At 39.6% G+C, this 23,579-nt stretch overlaps 1 protein-coding gene and 1 pseudogene across 7 annotated transcripts in view, besides 1 other annotated feature; both read right to left on the reverse strand.

Annotated features, from left to right (window-relative positions):
• Window positions 1-23,579, reverse strand: part of MTMR10 (myotubularin related protein 10) — a 72,913-nt gene that overhangs the window by 28,272 nt on the left and 21,062 nt on the right. For 5 of the 7 annotated variants that reach the window (XM_011521737.4, XM_047432771.1, XM_047432770.1 and 2 more), the window contains 9 exons: window positions 20,933-21,023; window positions 13,894-14,086; window positions 12,047-12,134; window positions 11,876-11,964; window positions 7,776-7,906; window positions 6,575-6,644; window positions 4,981-5,051; window positions 1,315-1,484; window positions 143-313 (listed from right to left, as the gene is read on the reverse strand). In XM_011521737.4, the coding sequence (XP_011520039.1) occupies window positions 143-313; window positions 1,315-1,484; window positions 4,981-5,051; window positions 6,575-6,644; window positions 7,776-7,906; window positions 11,876-11,964; window positions 12,047-12,134; window positions 13,894-14,086; window positions 20,933-21,023 (1,074 nt within the window). Of the gene's footprint in view, window positions 1-142; window positions 314-1,314; window positions 1,485-4,980; window positions 5,052-6,574; window positions 6,645-7,775; window positions 7,907-11,875; window positions 11,965-12,046; window positions 12,135-13,893; window positions 14,087-18,887; window positions 19,048-20,932; window positions 21,024-23,579 lie in introns of those variants that run through there. The other 2 variants (XM_047432772.1, XM_047432773.1) reach the window with 2 other exon arrangements.
• Window positions 7,015-7,541: an enhancer, noted in NCBI's record as "H3K27ac-H3K4me1 hESC enhancer chr15:31246205-31246731 (GRCh37/hg19 assembly coordinates)". NCBI's record gives its function as "activates a minimal SCP1, AML or CMV promoter by ChIP-STARR-seq in naive H9 embryonic stem cells {active_cell/tissue: H9 hESC(naive)}" and the evidence as "EXISTENCE:reporter gene assay evidence [ECO:0000049][PMID:30033119]".
• Window positions 9,261-9,363, reverse strand: RNU6-466P (RNA, U6 small nuclear 466, pseudogene; annotated as a pseudogene).

Consider the following 23,579-nt stretch of genomic DNA (forward strand, 5'->3'; position numbering starts at 1 on the left):
TCCATTCAGAAATTTCAGCTGAAAATGGCAGTAAGAATTTTAAATCATAAGATTTTAAATAGGCAGTGAATTATACTTCAATTATGCCTCGATAAAGTTGTAAAAACAGGGAAAACGTAGCCACAGCCACAGGGTTGCTTACCGTGCTTTGCTTCACTCGCTGGTGAGGGGAGTTGAACAGGAAGGTGCCAAACAGTGAGATCCGGGTGCTGTCATACAACACTGCCAGGTAGGTTTCGGAGAACTCAAAAGCTGCAGGATATTGTTCTAACAGCTGCCAGGTGGCATCCAAGAATAGCAAAAATAAAGGAGACTGGCAAATACAAAGAGACAATGGGATCATTTAATGTTATCCTTCAGCCGTTCACATTTACTTCAAAATGTACTGCTGATGTTAAAGAAGAGATGAATGAGAAAACATCGAAGCCTAAAACACTTGCCTTCTAAGCTGAGCTATACACATCTATCAAACCCAAGAAGTAACATTCAACCGTGATAAACATCACAACCCTTATTTGCCCAGTACATGTAACAAGTTGAAACAGCAAAGCACACAGTTGAGCGGGTTGCCACTATATGAAGGGGGAAGAGCAAAATATGTGTTTAAGCATGTCTTAGAAACAATTCTTTAGATTATATAACAAAACAAAACCATCAACCAAACTTCTCTAATGTTTGGTTGATCCTGTAGGCTCAGCATCCAGAAAACATCCCCATATTTCAGAAAACACTTTGGGATGAGCCTAGGTCACGTGGTGTGTCCCCAAGTGCAGTAGCGGGTGACCACTATTTTTTATGAGACACCACAAGTCAAATGGCGCTCTCTGAAACAACCTTCTAAAAACTGATCTGACTGACCTGCCTGGCCGGTAAGATATTTGTAAGGCCTTCCGCAGCCTAACTAGAGATCCGAGGCAGCCACTAACTCCACAGCTGTTGCAAAGGTGGCCCTCTCAAACTTTTCATCTTAACCTATGTATCCCATTTTAAGAAAATATGATATTCCAAAAGTGATTTTTCAAAATAGCCAATGTGCTTGTTATCTGTTTTTCAGTATTTTATTCAGAATTTTTTCAGTAGTTTTCCACTTAGACAAATTCAATAGACAACTTTTAAAAATTTCACCTTCATAGTTACGATAATCTTTATAATAAGTACATCAATTTGAACTCTAATCCATTAGTTAGCTTTGGACTAAGGAAATTAAGTTGTACTAAATACAGTATTTTTTAAAAGCCCCTTCATCTTTTAATGACACAAATTTTATTTTGTGTATCCTTAAAGACTGATAAAAAGGCATCAAGATTTTGTTACCTCTTTCTCTGATCTCTTTAGATGGTTGCATCTGTCTAGAAACTGATATCCTGCCATGACCCACTCCTTCTGTATCAGACTCTGAAATCCAGTAATTGTCCTAAAATAGGGATCCAGCATCACTTGAACAAGAGAAGCTACACAACAGCTCAAGTCTCTTCCTTCCTCCTCTGTTAATAAAATGGAAAGAAAATGATTACAACATAGAAAAATGCTGAGAGAGAAAGGGAAGGAAAGGTAAACTAGATAATTTAGTATTCTGCACACCTAGGCTGCCTTCCAAATCTGTATAAGGAAATTTTACTGGATTCCAGCAACTCTAAAATATTACAGACTTGTAGATAAACTAAATTAGCATTTAATAGGAGATGGTCTTTTATACATGGATATTTGCCAGATAATAGAAGCTCATCACTCATACTTTTTACATTCGAATGGTTTGTGGTAGAAAATCCGTCTAGACTCCATTCTACTGCTCTTTTGTCAAGGTATTAAGTATAAGGTAATCTTTCTACTGACAGGCCACATGGCAATACTGAGAAGTGAATGGGGAGAGTGGGACTGTTCACTACCAACTGAAGCTGTGGCAAACGATTCCCTCCTGTCTTTTATAGTTGTTGTCCTTTCCAATAAGGCCAGAATTGCCACGCTATCAAAGTCAGCCAGGGAAATCAGAAGACAACTATTGACCAATATCCCTTATGATTACAGATGTAAAAATCAATAAAAATATGAGTAAACCAAATTATCCAGGAATGCAAAGTTGGTTTAACATCTGTCAATTGTAGTAACGTACCACAGTAATAAAGGACAAAACCAACACGATTATCTCATTAGATGCGGAAAAAGCATCTGATACAATTCTACCTTCATTCCTGATTAGGAATAAAAGTAAACATATTTAAACTGATCAGAGACATCCACAAAAACCTACAATTAATGTTATTCCCATTTCACTGGTGAAAGACTGGATACTCTCTCCCTAAGATCAGGAAGATGATAAGGATGTCTGTTCTCTACACTTCTCCATCTCATTGAACTGGAGAATCTAGCCAGAGCAATTAGGCAAGAAAAAGAAAATAAAAGGCATTCAGATCAGAAAGAAAAAGGTAAAAACTGTCTTTGAAGACAATATGATCCTGTATGTAAAAACTCCTACGGAATCCACAAAATAACTACTAGAATTAATAAATGAGGTCAGTAAGGTTACAGAAATTCTGTACACAACAATCTGAGTACATAGTAAACCTGAAAATGAAATTAACAATTATATTCACAGTGACATAAAAATAAAATACTTAAGAGATTTAACAAAATAAATATAAGACTTACATAATAAAACACTGCTGATAAAATGAAAGATCTAAATAAATGAAGCAGCATAATTCATAACAGCCACAAAGTGGAAACAACCCAAATGTCCATCAACAGGTAAATGGGTAAGCAAAATGCATTTACAAACAGTGGAATACAATTCAGAAATAAAAAGGAAAAGATTGCTGATACACACTACATGAATGAACCTCAAAAACATGTATGTTGAATGAAAGAAGCCAGCGGCAAAAGGCCACATATTGTATGATTCCATTTATATGAAATGCCCAGAAAGGGAAAATCTAGAGACAGAAAGATTAGTGGCTGCCTGGAGCTGGGACTTTTGGGGTGATGAAAAATTTCCAAAACTAGACTCTGTATATTTACTAAAATTTACTGAATTACAAATTAAAAATGGGTGAATTCCATAGTATGTAAATTTTTAACAAACTGTTTAAAAATAAACGTATATAAAAATGCTAGTAAAATGAAGGTTCAGTGCTACTTCTGAGGCCTTTTCTATTACAAATGCATGGAGAAATGGAGGATGAGTAGGGTTCTCCAATACGATGAGAACACCCACTGGATGAGAGAAATTGTGATTATTAGGCTCTGCATGCATTTGTGAGTTAAACACACACTCTGACTGTATCAGTTCAGGATTACTTTATATGACACATTACTATTTGATTTTTTTCTAAGAGTCTTAAAGATTTTTGCCTTGTTAAAGTCAATCAAGTTTGGCAGTTGTTAAATGTACTTCTGCAAGCCTGGCCAGGCACGGTGGCTCACGCCTATAATCCTAGCACTTTGGGAGGCTGAGGTGGGCAGACCACCTGAGGGCAGGAGTTCGAGAGCAGCCTGGCCAACAAGGTGAAACCCCATCTCTAGTAAAAATACAAAAATTAGCCGGGCGTGGTGGTGCATGCTTGTAATCCCAGCTACTTGGGAGGCTGAAGCAGGAGAATCGCTTGAACCCAGGAGGTGGAGGTTGCAGTGAGCTGAGATCGTTCCACTGCACTCCAGCCTAGGTGACAGGAGCGAAACTCCATCTCAAAAAAAAAAAAAGTACTTCTGCAAGCTTAAGCAACATTTTGTATTCATATACTATGCAACATGAGTATATAGTCTTCCCTCAGTATCCATGGGGAACTCATTCCAGGGCCTCCTTTGGATACCAAGATCCACAAATGCTTAAGTCCTGGATATAAAATGATGTTAATATTTGCATATAACCTATGCACATCCTCCTGTACACTTTAAGTTACCTCTAGATTACTTATAACACCTAATACAATGTAAATGCTATGTAAACAGTTGTTATACTATACTGTTTAGAGAATAATGACAACAAAAAAAAAGTCTGTTCATGTTCATTACGGCCAAAGCTTTCCCCCGCCAATATTTTCAGTCCTGGGTTGGTTGACCACAGATGGGGAAGCCATGGGTACAAAGGACCTACTACTGTATTATACGAAGGTAGTTTTTAGTCTATTGAACTTTATCTGCAAACTTACAAATTCTATTAGCTGTAAGTTATTTAATATGTAATTATCCTTTGCTTAACTGAAAGATTTTTACATCACCGTTTATTCCTACCAAATATTACATTACTAGCTATTCAGCAGTTCAGTCTAAATTTCTTCATCTCAAACTGCTTCCTTAGAGTCATAATCTAGCATGAGCCAGAAGGTATTTAAACTAAAACAAATTTGTACAAATTAGACAGCAAAATTACAGAGAGAGAATGCCCTGTCAAAATTAACACTAAGTATTAATCCATTAGGGGATGGGACCCACCCTTCCCATAAAATAGGAAGGATAATTTAATAAAGGGTAAAAACTGGACTACTTTCTATTCTTCTATTTGCAGTCCTTGTGCCACTGGTTTTTATTTATTTTTTTTTTGAGTCTTGCTGTGTTGCCCAGGCTGGAGTGCAGTGGTGCGATCTCTGCTCACTGCAACCTCCGCCTCCTAGGTTCAAGTGATACTCCTGCCTCGGCCTCCCGAGTAGCTGAGACTACAGGCGCACACCACCACTCCTGACTAATTTTTGTATTTTTAGTAGAGACAAGGTTTCACCACGTTGGCCAGGCTGATCTCAAACTTCTGACCTCAAGTGATCCGCCCGCCTCGACCTCCCAAAGTCTGGGATTACAGGCTTCAGCCACTGCGCCCAGCCTGTGCCACTGTTTTACTCAAATGATGTGCAAAATCTGTAATGTATTTGATGGTACTGTAGTAAATAAGAAATAGCTAAAACTGATGTGATTTACTTGAATGGGGACAAGCAGTAAACCAAGGCTGGCTGGTATGGTGGTCATGGTGCTTTCAGGAGTTACTTTAGTTACCTTGTAGGACTACAGAGAGATGTTTGCTTTCTAGCATGTATACAAGTTCTGCTGAATGCTTAAGGAATGCCCTGAAGAGAGAAAAGGAAAAGCAGTGTTAAAAATCAAATTTCCACTACAAATACATAAAGTACTTGAAATCAAGCAAATCTAATTTCTCACTTTACAGATGCTCTCTGATCATGATATTCCCATAACTCATGACCCATGATAACCCACTGTAAGCTGAAAATACCCTAAACTGAGACTGTGTGGCTGACTGGCAGCTGTGGCTCCCTGCTGCTACTCAGCATCACAAGAGAGGATTGACTGCTTTCTACTGAATGCACATAGCTTTCGCATTACCGTAAAGTTTCTTTAGTTACTTATACGATTTCTCAAAGGAGTATATTTTGTAATTTTTGTTTTCTTTTTAAGAGACAGGCTCTCATTTTGTCACCCACACTAGAGTGCAGTGGCATATCACAGCTCATTGTAACCCTGAACTCCTGGCCTCAAGTGATCCTCCTGCCTCCACCTCCTGAGCAGCTAGGACCACAGGCACGAGCCACCATGCCTGCCTAGTTTTAAAATTTTTTTGTGGAGATGGGCATCTCACTATGTTCCTCGGCTGGTTGTGAACTCCTGGCCTCAAGTGATCCTCCTGCCTCAGGCTCCCTAGGACAGCAGGCACATGCCACCATGCCTGGCTAGTTTCCAACTTTTTTGTGGAGATGGGGTCTCACTGTGTTGCTCAGGCTGGTTGTGAACTACTGGCCTCAAGTGATCTTCCTCCCCAGAGCTTTGGAATTACTGGCATGAGCTACCACAACCGGCCCCACTTTGTAAATTTTTTTTTTTGAGATGGAGACTTGCTCTATCACCCAGGCTGCAGTGCAGTGGCGTGATCTTGACTCAATGCAACCTCTGCCTCCCAGGTTCAAGTGATTCTCCTGCCTCAGCCTCCTGAGTAGCTGGGACTACAGGTGCGTGCCACCATGCTTGGCTAATTTTTGTATTTTTAGCAGAGACAAGGTTTCACCATGTTGGCCAGGCTGGTCTTGAACTCCTGACCTCAGGTGAGCCACCCGCCTTGGCCTCCCAAAGTGCTGGGATTACAGGCATGAGCCACCACGCCTGGCCTCATTTTGTACTTTTTCATCAGGGAAATTCATAAACCCTTTATGAAAAGGAAGGGGTTGACTTATGACAAAACTATAGAGATTGAGAAGAGATTAGTGGTAGTCAACAGACACAGATGGCGATGAGGGTGCACCTATAAGAAGGCTAGCACAGGGGAGCCTTGTCATGGAACAGGTCTGTATCTCCCTGTGGTGGTGGTTACGTGAACCTACACACGTGATAAAATCGCACAGCTGTGTTAAGGGCATGCACACAGACGACAGCATGTATGAACTGGTGAGTAAGAGCTATCCAGTGTCCCAGTGTCAGCTTCCTGGTTTGGATGCTGTACTCTAGTTACGAGATGTTACTATTGGGGGAAGTTGGATGAAGAGTAAGTACATGGCCCTCTGTGCTATTTTTGTACCTCCAGTGAGTCTGTAGTTATCTCAAAATAAAAAGTTAAAGGAAAAGAAAGTAAAGAAGTACAAACCTTACATATTCTAACCATCGAGTATTTTCCAGTGAAGATAACCATTTCTCTTCAGTTTCTTCAAAAGGCTCTGTAATAAATTATATACATACACATTTTTACTTTTTATTTTATACGATCCCTATCAGAGTAAAGAGATACATCAGTTTCTAATATTTAAAAGTTAGCTTTAAGTAAATATCATGCATTTTCACTTTAATAACATGGAATAAGCATTTAAGAAGACATTACAATTCTGTAACAAAGCAAAACAAAGCATTCCCCTGGGGCTCCATCATCTTCTCTCTCGCTCTTTCAGGGAAATCTTGGAGTCCAACCAACTCTGACTCCCAACAGCTAAGAATTCCAGCCGTCCCTGCTCAGCCTATGCCTTGATCCTGGCCCTCCTGACCTGTGAGGTCAGCTGCCCAGGCCCTAGCCCTTGGCTTTCTCACTGCAAGCCTTGCCCTCCTGCTTCCCTGCCCCACCCCTGCTGCCAGTGGTGCCTCTGTGCATGGCTCACGTGGCCGAGGGCTAGCCACTGCATGAGGACAGGCATCCTCACTGCCCTGCCCAGAGTGCACATAATCATTCAGGACACTAGTTTTTTCAACAACTTGCCCCTGCCCCGCCCCTGCAAGGCCCTCCCCCAGGGAAGTGCTTACTCATTGCTCAAGATCTGCTGCAAGGCTGCCTTTGCTGACTCCCTGGTGACTTAGAGGATCTCTTGAGGAGGACCCACATTACACCAAAGATGCTTTCATGTGACTCATCCCGCAGGACACATGAAAGCCACCTGGTACGTTTGCTCAGATATATCAGAATTCTGATGCTACAGATATAACACAGCTGTTTGATACCCATGTCAAGTCACCTATCTCAAAGTATAACTGTATGTATTACAATCTTAATAAGTTTGTCTGTAAGGTAATACAGTGTTCTACTCAGCAAATGCTTTTATAAAAGTATTCTCCTATACCTTTCATCATCTGAAGGAAATTTAATACACTCATTTTTCCCCCTCTAAAACAAAAAGTAGTTTAAACTTAATTCCTTAGGAGGTTCTGAAGTTCTCATACAATAATATATAATTTGTACAAATAGTTCCATAGACTCCTTAAATATATCTATTTCTACATTTTTAAGAACATCACTTTTCCTGACATCTCATGCAACTCTGTATCCTGTGTTCATTATATATATGAAATAAGAATGAAATTACCATTAACGCATAGCTGCTTCAGTTTTACAAATGCTGCCTGTACTTCTTGAATATTAGGCAAGGTCTTATCCAAATCTGATTTGTAAACATCACTTCTCTGTGGGTGACTTTTAGTTATTGCATTACAAATCCTAATAAAGACAAAAATACTTTAGTCATTACTCATTCATTTCAGCATATATTTATTTAACCCTTACTATAGACCAGGGGATAGAGAGAGGAATGAGACAGGTAAGGTCTCTGCCTTCATGGAGTTTACTTTTTTTTTTTTAAGACAGAACCATTGCTTATCTTATTTTTTAGTTTTAGAGACTATTCCATCAGGTTTCTCTGCATGATTTTTCTGTATTCTCATAAAACTGAGAGTGAAATCAAGGAGAAGACAGGTAAACTTTGTTTCCCTCTTAGCACCCAACTTCTCCCACCCATCTGGCTTTGACTACTGCAGAATGCTGCCATTCACCTCACTGCCACCCCCACGTGCAGTGCACAGAACAAATTAGATCATTTCCTTCTTTTTCTTTTTGAGACGGAGTCTCATACTGTCGCCCAGGCTGGAGTGCAGTGGCACCATCTCGGCTCACTGCAACCTCCCCCTCCCGGGTTCAAGCGATTCTCCTGCCTCACCCTCCCGAGTAGTTGGGATTACAGGCACCCGCCACCACACCTGGCTAAATTTCTGTATTTTTAGTAGAGGCGGGGTTTCACCATGTTGGCCAGGCTGGTCTCAAACTCCTGACCTTGTGATTCACCCCCCTTGGCCTCCCAAAGTGCTGGGATTACAGGCGTGAGCCACCGCGCCCGGGCTCATTCCCTTATTTCTGATGGGAGAAAATAAAGCACATCCATTGGAACACTTGCCTGGGAAACAGAAACACTGCCAAGGGGGGGGCGGGGCAGCACTGCATTTAGATTAAGGAGACCCTACACTCCCACATCTTTCCACATGATGTAGACAGAAGGATGGCAAACCAGATGCACATTCTCCAGCTCTAGAGAATGCAAAGCACCTATTCCCACAGTCTTAACGATTTGCTGTAGGATAAACTGCAAGTACAGACATTCACCAAAATTCCTCCCACCCTTCCTCTATTCTTAGGAGAGAATGGGCTACTATAAATATGTGCCATGGGGTCTCTAGATCTTTTCAAAGGAAACAGCCAGGACTGGGATTCCCATCTATATTCAATGGGTAACTTCCACACCACTTTAAAAAAACAAAACAAAACCCTGCTGTTGTTTTTTTTTTTCCTGAATAGAAAAAGTAATATAAATTAGTGTGGAATGTTTAAAAACACCTAGAAAAGATAAGAAAAACAAAATCACTCAGAATTCTAAAATTTTGGTGCAATCTTTCTAGGTTTCCTCTATGCACCTTTATGTGTATGGAATTTAATGTAGGCATGAAAAATAAAATGGCGCTGTACATTTGCTTGATAAACTGATTTTTAAAAATTAAATAACAAGAATATGCTCCCATTTCATTAAAATATGTAATGTGTCATGAACCTGCATGTCATCTTTGTGCAAGGGCTATGCTAACCTTCCCTGTATCATTCCAATTTTACTACTGGTGTTGCCCAAGCAAGTGGGGGGTTGACATTCTTCGTGGGGTGGGGTAGATGATAAGATAAATGGGCTGTGGTGAATGCCATGGATGATGTAATCATGAGATTACAGGCTACTTTAGGTCACATGGTGAAAAACAGCTGCTCTGTGAAGATGGTACTGAAGCCGAAACCTAAATGAATAGAGAAGCAATGTAAAGATCTGGGGTGAAAATGTTCTAGGCAGAGGGCAGCTAGTGCAAGGGCCCTGTGGCAGGTAACAAGCATGGCTGCTGAGAAACCTAAAGAAGGCCAGTGGGGCTAGATGACACACCTGAGGGAAAAAGGTTAGGAGACGAGGTTGGACAAAAAAGAGGATCTGTTCTACTTATGAAGAATAGGATAGCTGAAAACACAAAAGGCATTAAAGTAATTTTCAGCTTAATAAATCACTGAAACTGCCACTGATTATAAGGTTTTATAACTAACTCTCACCCAACAATGCTACAATTGTCCCTTTAACAGCAAAATTCCTAACTGTGCACTTCATCAGCATGTATGCTAATGAAAACAAGGCTTGGAGTATGACACAGCAGACAGTTAATTCCAAATGGAGTTCAGGTAAATCAAAATCCACAGAGAATACGGACTCGTGTGAACTATAGTCACCTTCCTTTCCAGAAAACTGAAGGTCATTTGAGGGTCACTTGATGGTTATTTGCTTCAGTGAATATGGCTCTGTCAGTTACGGTACAGTGGAAAAACCCTACACTCTGGCTGTACCAAAAAGGACTGTGATACACAATTTCTGAGGCTCCATAAGCCTGTTTTATAAGATCTGTTCATTTACTCCTCATTTATTCAACAAGTATTGAATAAATATCATATATGCTTCCTGGGTGCTAAATATATAACGGTGTGCAAAACAGACATAGTCCCTCATCTCATGGAGTAAAAACGACAGGCGGTAATCAAACTGTAACACACACATATATAATTAAAAACTGAAATAAATGTTAAAAACTCAGGAGCTCTAAGAACATAGACTTTTGAGGTCTGATCAAACTTTAGAGGGGAGAGAAGGCTTATCTTGAGGAAATGATGTTTGAATTGAGATATAAAGAATGAGTGAGCCGGGTGCAGTGGCTCACGCCTGTAATCCCAGCACTTCGGTAGGCCGAGGCGGGTGGATCACCTGAGGTCAGGAGTTCGAGACCAGCCTGGCCGACATGGTGAAATCTTGTCTCTATTAAAAATACAAAAATCAGCTGGATGTGGTGGTGGGTGCCTGTAATCCCAGCTACTCAGGAGGCTGAGGCATGATAATCACTTGAACCCGGGAGCCGAGATCGTACCACTGCACTCCAGCATGGGTGACAGAGTGAGACTCTGTCTCAAAAAAAAAGAAACAAGGAGTGCCAAGTGGGTAAGCGTGGAGAGTGTTCCCAGATGAGTGCAAAGAAGGCAGTCCAGAAGGGAAGAGCGCTGGACAATGTCAGGAGGTTGAAAACACCAGGGAAAGTCCAGGGGGCTGGAGCCCAGGGGTGGAGGAGACATGGAAGGAGGAAATGATAGCACTTATAACACACAGGCAGAGGTGGAGCTGGGTTTGTGGAAGCACATGGGTTTGCAAGGTGTCTGAAAAGTGAAGTGAGAAAACCTGAGGAGGGATTGGTGATGGGGAAGGGAAAGAAAGAGGAAGGCATCCAGGATGACCCCCCGGTTTCTGAGAGCAGGCTGGGGGAGGGCATGGAGGCCATATCCTTGAGTTTGGTTTTGGACATAATGAGTTTAAGGGGTCTTTGAGACCTCCATGTAGAAGTCAAGGTAGACTGAAGATATAAATGTGTTGGTCACTAAAGCCACATTCTTGGGGAAACTTCTTTAGGAAAAGAATACAGAACATGAGGAAGCGGCCTTAGAATCTGTGTAATGTCTGGAGAGAAGAGGATGGGTCTGCAGAAGGCACGGAGTGCCAGTGAGGAAGAGGAGCTTCAGGAGAGTGGAGAGGAGCAGAGGCTGAGGGCCCAGGCGGGTTTAAGGAGAGAGTGATCAATAGTATTGCTCACTGCTATGAGCACAACTGAGAAAGGCCTCCTACTTTAATGACGTGGAGGTTACTAATGACCACAGCAGATGATGCCAGACTCGTCTGTGGTGGCTAATTAAAACCACTGTTCTAGCTATTGCAAATGTGTAGACCTAAATAAGACACATCAAACTACAAGAAAAGTTTGATTTATCCTGAAGTGTCTCAACTGGATATCACTGCACTTTGAAAGTATGTTATAGGAAATGCTATAGCAAGATGTCAGCAATGTAAGATCCACAAGTGTCTTACAAACCAAATAATTAAATTATATTTAGTGTAACTCCAATGTCAGTTAATTTTAATATTATCACATTCTTTTCAAAATGGCAATTCTTATATAAAACATGGTGCTAACTAATTAGTAAGACTATGCATTTTGTTATTTTCAATTAGTAGGGAACTCACTGTAGTTACACAACAAGTAAAACTATCTAAAGTGACAATGACCATTTCTCAATTACCTCTGGTCAATCTTCCTCTGCTGCAGCACGTCTTTGATGAGGGCCATTCGCACAAGAGCACTGCCGTTAGAGTGGCTCCAGCACCAGAGCTAGGGGAGAGGTAGAATCCTTACTTCACTGTGTAGAAACAATGGACGTCAGCATTCATAAAATCCAACAGAAATCACTTACTGGCATCCTTCTCCCAACAAAAGAATGGGAAAAGATCTTTAGATCTTGGTCTGCTAAAGAACTTGGCACTACAATGTATTCTGGAAGGCTGGAGGGGAAAAAAAAAATTATATGAGTGCTGTGCTAAAAGCAGGAATAGTGTGCTCCTGCAGACCCTATAAATAATTAAGCAAGTTGTCCGCATTTAATGTGCACCCCACTTAGTAGCCACATGGTGGGCACCATGGGGGGGCAGTGACGATCCTACACCTCTTAGTCTAAAATTGGTGCGATATGACCAATTCTTAAAAATCTAAATTTATAGCATGAGAAAATTCCAAAGAAGGTATTAGAAATATTTTCCAGAATGACTATTAAACATGTATGTGTTCACTGAAAAATATATCCACCTTTGTTCTCTTGACAGGCTATGGTTAAGGACACCAGGCAAACAAAAGAAAACCCCACAAATCTACCAGGAGCTTTAGCTCTCTTCTTAAGTCCCTCTTCTACCTTTCCCCATGCCTAAAAGGCACAGTCAGACTCTAGGACACTGATCAGACAATAATTACTAGTGGGCAAGCTCACTGCACCTCAAGACATCTTCCTTCTTTCCCCGACGTGGCTGGGCAGCCCCATCACATGTTTCTCAGCACATATACCAGAGTGTGCTGGCCTTGAAGCTTAAATTCCAGGGGAAGCAAAAGATACAAGCTACATGCTGCAAAGCACCTTTCTAGAACTGTACTAGAAGTTCCTGGTACTGGATTAACCAGTAATAACACAGTAGTGCTTTTCTTCCTTTTTCTAAAAAGCTGCTTATGTGCGTGAACTAATGAGGACTTCAATGACCTTAAAATAAGGCATTCCAAAAAATTCATAATAACTAAATGACATTAAACAAATTAAAAAAACAAATTCCTAGTCACTTCTAGAAGATCCCCTAGGGAACCAGCTCACTATTTGGAAAAATGTTAAGTAAAGGAGAAAATGTAGATATTTATATTGCTTTTCTTGTACGAACTGTGTTACAGGGCACTAAAGAGCTGGTGAGAGAAAAGTTCGATAAAAGCAGAAAGATGATAGAATTAGAAGGTGAACAATAGCAATCCTTAGTGAAATAACGATCTGAGCAATGATCCTCCCTCCCAGTGCAAAACTATTTTTGGGAGCTCAAACCATGATATAAGAGGGGAACTTTTACTGGGTGGATCAGGTTGACACCCTCTAAGCCCACTGGTCGTCAGGATTACAATGAGAGAGACACAGCCCAGCCAGCCTGAGATGGGATGTGACTCCACAGGAGAACACAGAACCACCTAATGAAACATTCTTGCCAAAAGTACTGAACCTGAATCCGATTAAGCCTCTGTTGCTAACATTTTAAAGGAAATATTAGAGACAGAGGAACACATTACGGGACACCCTGGGGATAAAACAAGCAATATCTACAATGTGGAAAATTCTAGGGAACAAATGACCTGGTTTGTCAACAAATAGTAGGTAAAAAAGAGGTGGGAGGAGACTGTTGTAGATTAAAAGGCCTAAGAGACATATTAAGCAAATTCAATGTGAAGACTTTAGATCCTGATATGAACAAACCAACTGTAAAACACCAGTTACAAGATATAATGCAATAAACACTGACTACTGATGACAGTAAGGAATTACTATCAACTTCTTTTAAGGGATACCGTAATTTATATTAATAAGCCTTGATCTTTAAAATAAAATATTTATTAAAACATTATTAAAAACAAATATTCCATTAACCACAACTTGAAAGTCATCAATGACAACAGAGTTTGATGATTATTCATAGGGAAGTGACTTCCAGCCATATATAACATTGCTAAAATTGTACTTACCAAGTGGATATCATGTAACCCTCGTTAATAGAACAAACTCTCCACCCGGAAGCACCTGTCCTCTTGATTTCTCTGTCCCAATCCGAGTAAGTTTCAAAGAGTGGAGTTTTCTGGCTGCTGCCACCACCAGCTCCATTACCTCCTCCTCCTCCTCCTCCTCCATCTCCTGAGGGAATTCCATTAATTTTGTTTGCTGTAGGAAAAAGCAACATTATGAATTTTAACAGTCACATTTTCCCCAGCATTCCCTCTTCTCTGAGCCTCCTGTCACATGCATACTCTGATGTGCTGTCTCTAACCTGCTTCACCTTCCAAGTCTCTCCGAGAACTGTCTTGCCCTTTCCATTTAAAAATAACTCCTTTTTTTTTTTTTGACGGAGTCTCGTTCTGTCGCCCAGGCTGGAATGCACTGGCATGATCTCGGCTGACTGCAACCTCCGCCCCCCGGGTTCAAGCTATTCTCCTGCCTCAGCCTCTTGAGTAGCTGGGATTACAGGCACCTGCCACCATGCACCATGTCCAGCTAATTTTTGTATTTTTAATAGAGACAGGGTTTCACCATGTTGGCTAGGCTGCTCTTGAACTCCTGACCTCAGGTGCCCCACCTGCCTTGGCCTCCCAAAGTGCTGGGATTACAGGCATGAGCCACCACGCCTGGCCTAAAAATAACTCATTTAGTCTTGTCCTTATCCAGCTCTTTCACAACTCCGTAAAACAGCTTTGATTTTTCTCTCCTTCTACTGGCTCTATCTTCTCTGCCTTCAAACGTAAACAGGTCAGTCAACATGATATTGAAAACACTTTGATCACGCCGGACCACTCTAGCTACTATGCTATACATTTTTCTTCCTTCCTTTTCCTGACCACCTTCCCCCAGAATGAAGAATGGCTGCTGCCTAGATTTCCTCTCCATTTATTTTCTCTTTAATTTTCAATTGTCTTCCATCCCTACCATTCTAACAGAAACTATTCCTAACCCTTCCTCATCTCCGTCCCTAATTGTGGGGTAAGTCCATGTCATTTGATTATTTGCTCCACATATTTTGCCTGGAAAAATGAAACATCCAACAATCATCTCTGTCCTCAAGCCCTTCAAATCTTTAATTTTTCTAATACCAACTTCTCACCTACCTGCTCTTTTCTATCTGCTCATTAGAAAATTCTTGGTTTCCTGTATCTACTCGATTTTCCTTTGAAAAGCTCATCAGGTTCCTTGTTCTTTGCTAGAGTGCTGTTTCCACATGAAGATTACAGCAGGGCAGGCCTAGACTTGCATTTCCTTAGAAAGGAGCCTGCTCTGAGAGAGAAGTAATGCTATCTTCTGGGAGCATGCTCACAGCCTCAAGAGTGCCTGCAAAGTGATTATTGAGAAACAAGCTGTCCCACAAAGTCAGCCAGATCTACCTTGGCAATATCTGGTGACAGATGGCACAACCCATTCTGGCCCAGGGTCTTTCTGCTGCAGGCTGCAACTGTGGCAAGTCTCCCAGCTGGCATCCCCAATGGAATATTCTGCTGCATTTAAACCAGCCAGCAGCTTACCACAAGACACACTTCCCTAAAAAGATGTGTTCATGATGCTAGTCCCTTGCCTTAAACTTTCAATAAGCTCATTTTCCAACCAAATCAAACCTAAATGGCTTCTCTTGGCCTTAGAGATCCCTCACGTAACTTATCTGACCTTCATTTCCCATTCTCCTCTGCAGCCATGCACTACCCTCCAACGTCCCATGAACATGTCATGCTCATTCCTACTGATTATTCATTAATTCCTGGTATAAGACAGGTATTTTCTGAGAACTCCCCATGTGCTAATGCCTGAGAGCAAAAAGATGAATAAGATTTTATCTCTATCTTGAGAGCATTAATAAGTGTGATAATCACAGAGTACCAGATGTCTGAGTGCAATGAAGATGCAAAAGAGAAGTCCCCTAACTCTCGCTGCAGAGAGAGGCCGGGGCAGGAAAAGCTTCATGACTTGACCACAACTAAAGAGAGTTCTAAGGAACAAGTCAAAAGTTGCCAGGTAGCTGGTGAGGAGGAGGTAGGCATGCTAGACAGAGAAGAACTTTAAAAAGATGGTATAACTGTATAATATCAAGTAACTAAATACAGCTAGAGCATAGGGATTCAACAGGTGGTGGAAGAGAGGCGGGAAATCAAATAGGGCCTAGACTCTAGTATGTTTCCCAAAAACGTAACTTCTAGCCACACAAGCCCATTTAAATTTAAACTGAAATGAAAATTAAATAAAATTAAAAATTCAGTCCATCAGTTGCACTAGCCACATTTCAAGTACTTAACAGCCACATGTGGCTAGTGGCTCTAGTGGCTGCCCTACTTCCATCACTGGACGGTGCTGCTCTAGATTACGGAGGGGCTATGTTAGGAATTTGGACTCCTCTTAAGTGGTATCAGAATTATCCAGTGATTCTGATTTTAACAAAGCTCATTAAAAAGTAAAATGTTGCTGGGCGCGGTGGCTCATGCCTGTAATCCCAACACTTTGGGAGGCCGAGGTGGGCGGATCACAAGGTCAGGAGATCGAGACCATCTTGGCTAACACGGTGAAACCCTGTCTCTATTAAAAATACTAAAAAAAAAAAAATAAGCCGGGTGTGGCGGCACGTGCCTGTAGTCCCAGCTACTTGGGAGGGTGAGGCAGGAGATGGTGTGAACCTGGCAGGCAGAGCTTGCAGTGAGCCGAGATCGTACCAGTGCACTCCAGCCTGAGCGACACAGCGAGACTCTGTCTCAAAAATAAATAGACAGATAGATAGATAGACAGACAGATAGATAGATAGATAGATAGTAAAATGCTCATTCTAAGCCCACATCCTAGAGTCCCACTCCATCTCAGGGCCTTCTCTGGAGTAACACAACTAAAAAGCGTGTCTGTGAGAAGGAAGACTTAGGAGTTATGATCTCTCCAGAACACAAAACCTGCATATGGAATTTTTGGCAAAGCCCAATCTATACAGTGTTCCAGTGCACCAAAACAAAGAAAGCTATTCAATATTAGAAAATCTAAGTAATTCATCATATGACTACATTAAACACGAAAAAGGCTATATGAATGACTAGCTCTGTAAGTGCAGAAAAACATATGATAGATACCTGTTTATGACTTAAAAAAAAAAACCCAACAACGTTAGCAAGTTTGGAATAAAAGGGAATTTCCTTAACTGGATAGAGGGTGTTTATCAAAAAGACATAGCTAAGAGCATCTTCATTAAAAGCGGGAAGTGAAATTATGCCTGCTAATATTACTGCTATTCAACACTGAACCAGCAGTCCTAGCCAAACAATAAAACCACCACCACCAAAAAAGAATTATAAAAAACACACTCAAAATTTTAACAGTTATGTAAAACAGTTTGGTGACTGAGTCCAGCAGCACTGAATACTTTTTAGTGTTTTGGGTTGCAGACTTTAATAAGCTAGGCTAAGAATGTGCTATTGTTTATGAGATTGTTTCTCTGGCCAAATTTTGTTTCAAGATCTAACTTACACAAATTTTTCTAAACGTAAAATGAGAACATCTATATTTTCTAAGCATAAAGTGAGATCCTCTATCGTTTGTTATTTTTGCCATTTCTCTCGTTCAAATCCTGTACTTTTCTAAACAACTGGGACTAGGTCTTTTATATGTTCTATATCATCTTCAGTTAGAGCTCATTACAGAATGTGTAATGTATACTCAATCTGGTTTTATAGTCCAGAAATTTGAATGCTTTCCAAAGTTCAAAAGACCTGATACCAGTGGCCTGCTCTATGAGTGGATCGCTATGAGGGGCTGGACCAACACAGTGAAAGGTGGGTCATCTCAGGGAGACCTGGCTCCGCTGACCGCTACCTGACTGAGGTTTTATGACATGCCTCCACAGCAGACTAAGCGTGAAATAGATATTATATGCTCCTGACCTTGGCTATCTTCTGTGACAGTACAAAAGTCTAATCCTATACTGTTGGGGTTATTTTAGATAATTTCCACTGAATTGGCCAATTGATATCTAGAATGGCTTCAAGCAACAGAAAATACAAGTCATCAATATATGAAAAGAAAGCCCACCACTCTGATGATACTGCAGAAATTAGAAGTCACAAAGGAATAAGGTAAAAAGAGGACTGTGAGTATTAATCAGTTCAAAAGCATGAGTCAACAAAGTGGTTCTTAACTGGGAGATTCTGACCTGTGCTGGAGCCAACATGGCTGCATTTCTAAAGGTTCCTCCAGTAATCCTGATGTATACAGCTGGCTGGAACCACCAATATTCAACAATCATTTATAGCTATTCTGAGAATCTTAAGCAACAAAGTTTAAAAATTCCTATACTGTTTCAAATGGATTGTGTACCTTGTGTTTTTCAAATAGGCATTTTAAGGAAAATCTAATAACAAGATCTATGTTAATAAAAAGGATAAAATTAAATGTCACTGAAAATGTACAACTTCTGATGTGAAATTTCATTACAACTTCAGATTACATCACAGCATCTGTAAGCAGGATGTCTGTCATGAAGCAGTTGCTGACACTAGGCTGCAGATAACTTCATGAAACTTTCAATATTTTTGGTCCAGAAGCATAATCTGACATCTTATCAATTCTATAAGAAAGATGAATCTGTACTTTTTTGACGTTATTTGCCCAATAATAATCTGACTGATGAAAACAGAGTCCTCATGGTTTCTTTAAAGTTAAAAGAGAAAAAACAGAATCATTGTTCTTGTTTGTGCTAGTAATATCTCCTGGGGTGTTTGTGCAAAGCGATGTTCCAAAGCCTGGGTGCTACACATCTTACTTTACTCCAGGATATTCACAGAAGTGTTGGGATGACTGCAGGACCTTTCAGAGATGGCTTTTCCTCATGTGATACTGAATATGAATGAAAACCTGAGTGACTAAGGCCAGCTAAAATATCATTTTCTCAGATAACTGCAGGGGAGCTCCTCCAACTTTGGATCTTATTTGTGGAAACAGCTTTGTCACCTACCTGCCTGCAAAAAGGACTTCTTTAATCCAGCCAATGAATCAAGGTGTCATCCAGAAGTTCAAGAGTGGATGAGTGGGCATCTTTCACTCACAAATTAATGAATTCTGACTGCAGTGTGTGGAAATTTCAGGCTCCTTTTGATCTTAAAGATGCAGTATTTATGCTTCTGTAACAGCATGGAAGGATATTAAAGGATGTTACCCTACGAGGAATCTTAACAAAACTATGGCCAGTGTTATGTTTATGAGGTACTTGTCAAAGGAGGAGTCTGAAGGATGTAATATAAAAAAGCATCCCTGAATATTTTCAGTATTAATCATCAAATTTTATCAATAAGCTATATAAGAAGAAATAGTGGAACTGAATGATGTAGATTTTAAAATTCCAGTAGTAGAAGACCTATGGGTGGATAAACTAAAGTACTGTAAACCAGAGATGCCCACAAGGTATGAATGAAGAAAAATGTGGAAAGTAACTGAAGCAGGCATCAGGTTACCAACTGTATAATGAAGTTTACTGTCTTTGCTGAGCCCAAGTCACTACATTACTGTAGAAGTTATGGATCTGTAAACTGAAATGAATCATTTCTATTGGAAAAACAGCAGCATGAAGAACTGGTCTGTATCATAAACAGTTGAGCAGGAATCAAAGACTCACTCCTACAACCCTTGCAACTCTGGGTGAGGATCTTATTGAAGATAACCTTGATCACTGTTCTGTAGCTTGACGATGATCCCAAGGAGTGTTTACCTAATAGTGCAGGATCTGTATACTTTATTTTTAGACAGTAAGTGAATTTACTTAATATTAATAAACTTCAAAAAATAACTGTATTGCTTAAGCCTCAGTTACAATTATGTATATATCGATAAGAAAAATTAAGTTACAAATACTTTTGTTATACAATTTCTATAAATATAATACTGTATGATAAAAGCTGCTCTGCAAAGCATTATTTTCATATATTATCTCTACTGTATTTTCTTTTTTTTTTTTTTTTGGTCCTCTCAGTGCTTAACAGAAAGGTAGTTATCTTTTAAACTAAGGAAAATTTACTTATACACATGCATCTTCAGATACCGTACACTGATACATTTTAATGTATTTACAATATAGTGTTGCTGGAATATACTTTTATTATGCCAGTTATTTAAATTACTACCATGTTTCGTGGTAACAAAATATAAAATTTCAGTACAATTAATAATTTGTATGGCCCAGAGCATGCTGGGTGAATGGATTTTTCATTATAAATACACAGCTGATTTATTTTTCTTGCTTAAATAAAAGAACACAGGCTTCGCTCAGTTAACTGACTTGCAGTCACTAACTGACAATGGGGCTAACAGGAGACACGGCTCTTTGTTTTTCTCTATCAAGATATTTTTAAAAATTGTTTATTAAAATTACATTTGTACGAAACAGAATGTACAGAATTGCATGATCATCTGGAATCTTCCCTGGTCATGTCATGACTGTCAGATATATAGACAAAACTATTTACTTTCACAAAAGCTGTCTAGAATATACTTGTCCTTGGAAAAATGCTCATCTTCCTTTCATCAGTATTACTCAGAAATAGAAACTCAGTATTCTGAGAATCTTAATGAAGTCCACAAAAAGTTTTTAATCACTTTAGCTTTTGCATGAAATCACACCTTGCCAGAAAAGATTATGCTTTTAATATATCTTTTAGTTTTCTGCCAGTTTTCTTAAAAGATAAGATTACTTTAACTCAAGCTATCAATTAAAAAGGGTGGGTTATATATTCTTCATCATAAAATACAAGCCAGTGACTGGAGATTAAATATCTGACATAACTTATAAGCCCATATTCATAGCATTAAAGGTTCTTCCTGGTAACTTGTCAAGAAATAATCTGACAAACTATTGGCTCTTTTAGCATGTAGTGCTTACTTCTCTAAGGTATGAAGCTAGTAATTCTACAATCATTAAAGCTCATGTACTTGGAGGCTTCCGGTAAACATAAGAGTAAAATTTACACATGTAAAATTAGTCACAATATTTAATATTTTCATATTTACCTGAATTGTGGTATTTTTTCCCAACATATTCAAATGCAAAGAGTAGCTGGAGGTCTGTTGGCTGGGAATAATGAGCTATTGCAAGGCATACCTAGGAAAAATTCTACATTTAGAATTTGATTTTAACACACTTAGTTAAATGAAATGTACAATAAGGCCTTGGGCACTGGGAGCATCATCTTGGGGCAGTGATTATAGATACTATTTACATGTTTTTCTGTTGACCTAGAATATAAAAGAGCTCCTTAAGGCCAGGTATCTCATTCACTTTCATGCCCTCAAGACATTGTTTATCTTTAGCTAGCACATGGCAAGTATTCAGTAAATATTTGCTGAGTTAAATTTTAATTGGAAAGTAATTTTAGTCCAATAAAGAAAGCTTCAAACTAAAGAAGCATTCTCCAAAAAGGCAGTGACTACATGTCCACTCCAAAAAAGGAAGAAAAAAGTTTCATTTTTGGTGGACTATAAAGGATTAATATAAGGCATGAAACTTTAAAGTTTACGCCTCATGGATTTAAACATCTAAATAGAGAAACATAATTACAAAAAATTAAAATTAGCAAGAAACTCCAAAAATGCATGGGTGGCTCAAAGAGGTACATCAAAAAAACAACACACACACACACACACACACACACACACACACACACACACAAACTGTGTTTAAGTAAAATGGTTTGGGACTGTGTGCCCTGTGGTGGAAAACGTGCGGGCTTTAGAATCAAACAGATCAGGGGGCTTGAATCCTAGCTCTGTCAAGTACTTGCTACATAACATGTGTGAAGTCATTTCCTCTTTTCTAGCCTCAGTTTGCTCACTTGTAAAACAAAAGTAATACCTAGGCTGTGGTAAGAATTAACAAGCTTAATGCAGGCTAGGCCTTTGGAGGAGCTCCATATATAGAAATATGGCTGTTATTATTCTCAACTGCTGCTAGATAGAATGAAGGATGGTGCTCTAGGCTTACAAACCCTGGTAGTCACTAGAATGTGGGAGAAAATGCTCTTCAGTGAGCAAAGACGAAAGAAGAAATTTAAGACATATGCAAGGAAAACATAGCAGAAAAACTTATTTAAAAGATTAAATTTTATTTAGAAGGTAAAGCGTTAAGTTAAGGCAGAATGATATACTTTTGACAGTGAGTAAGAAAAGTTAATTGTTAGTTCATGTCAAATTAGTGGTGTTTGGAGTGGGTTGATGCACATTTCATTAACCAGTAAGCATGTGTCAACTTGTTTAAACTACATTTTAAAAGTCTTCTATAGAATAAATGTTTCCTGTCTCACTAAGTTAAAATATACAAACAAGGGGACAGAATTTGTCATTAGTTTTGACCAAAAAGAAAAAAAAAACTGCTTCTTGAAACTTACGTGGTATCTCGATTTCTCAATACCTATAGGAGAGCTTTCTATGACGGTCCCACTTGCAAAATTTAGGAGCCGGTTATCTATATTCCCATTCCTAATCTTTTTAACAGTTTTCCTTAAAGCATTTCTAGCAGCAAAACTACTGAAATCTGTAGCTTGAAAAAGTTCTCATCCTTCCTATTTGTTTGGGCACCGTTGATAAGCTATGTTGCACTTTTCTCTAGACATTTTTCATAGTTGTCCATTTTGCTACACTGCCATAGCCACATCCTTAGGCCATACTCACCTTATGGCACCTCTGAGAGCTTCCTTACATTCTAGAAATCTACAAAACTTAAGGATTACCTTCTAACGATGTAATTCTGACTAACAATTTTGCTCTCCTGATAATCTGCTGTGGTTCCCAGACATCTGCATAACAAATTAAATCTCCTCATTCTTGATTCTTCACAAAACTGGCTCTCCTCACCAGGTAACTATACCTTCCCAATATTCCCTCCGCAATCTCAGGTCAGAGAAAAACAGGTTTGAACACATTCTGCCTGACTTAGCCCCAGCCATCTCCACTGTCACACTCTTTGCTTGGAAAATCCTACTCCTCTTAGCCAACTATGCTTTCTTGGAAACTGTCATGTCTGTTCAACACTACTCTCTTCACAAGCCTTCCTAGAGGGAGCCAATTTCAGAGTACTAATTCCAGAAACCCAGAACAACAGTTTCAATATAAAGCGTCTCTTTAGTTAAGTGCTTATTTTGCTTTACTTCCAAGGTATTCACATAATAGTTATGATGTGGATGAAAAGTAGGATATAGGTGGTTCTGTTACACTTCTACCATGAAGGTCAATTCCTTAAGGATAAATGACACATTTCACATTGATTTAACAAATATTTACTGAGTACCTACAATGTTGTAAGCCCTAGAGATGCAGTGAACAAAACAGACACTAATCCCTGTCCTCATGAAGCTTACATTCTAGTGGGAAGACAGACACTAAACAAGATAAAGAGAAAAAATACAGAAAGTTAGATAACTATGAATGCTAAAAGAGAAAAATAATAGAGCAGGGAAGGGGAATATGAAGTGTTACAGTGAGAAGAGGGAGACAGGCTAAAAAGTAGAGAAGGAGACCAAGAAAGACCTCTCTGCACAGACTTGAGTAAAGATCTGAAGATGTCTGCACTTTGCAGCACCACTTCAGTAGCTTTCTGACGGTGCTCTGTGTCCAACAGTGGCTACACTAATATTCACTGACAAAAGTAGTTACCAACATATTA

This window comes from Homo sapiens, chromosome 15 (assembly GCF_000001405.40).
Source record: "Homo sapiens chromosome 15, GRCh38.p14 Primary Assembly".
Lineage (NCBI taxonomy): Eukaryota > Metazoa > Chordata > Mammalia > Primates > Hominidae > Homo > Homo sapiens.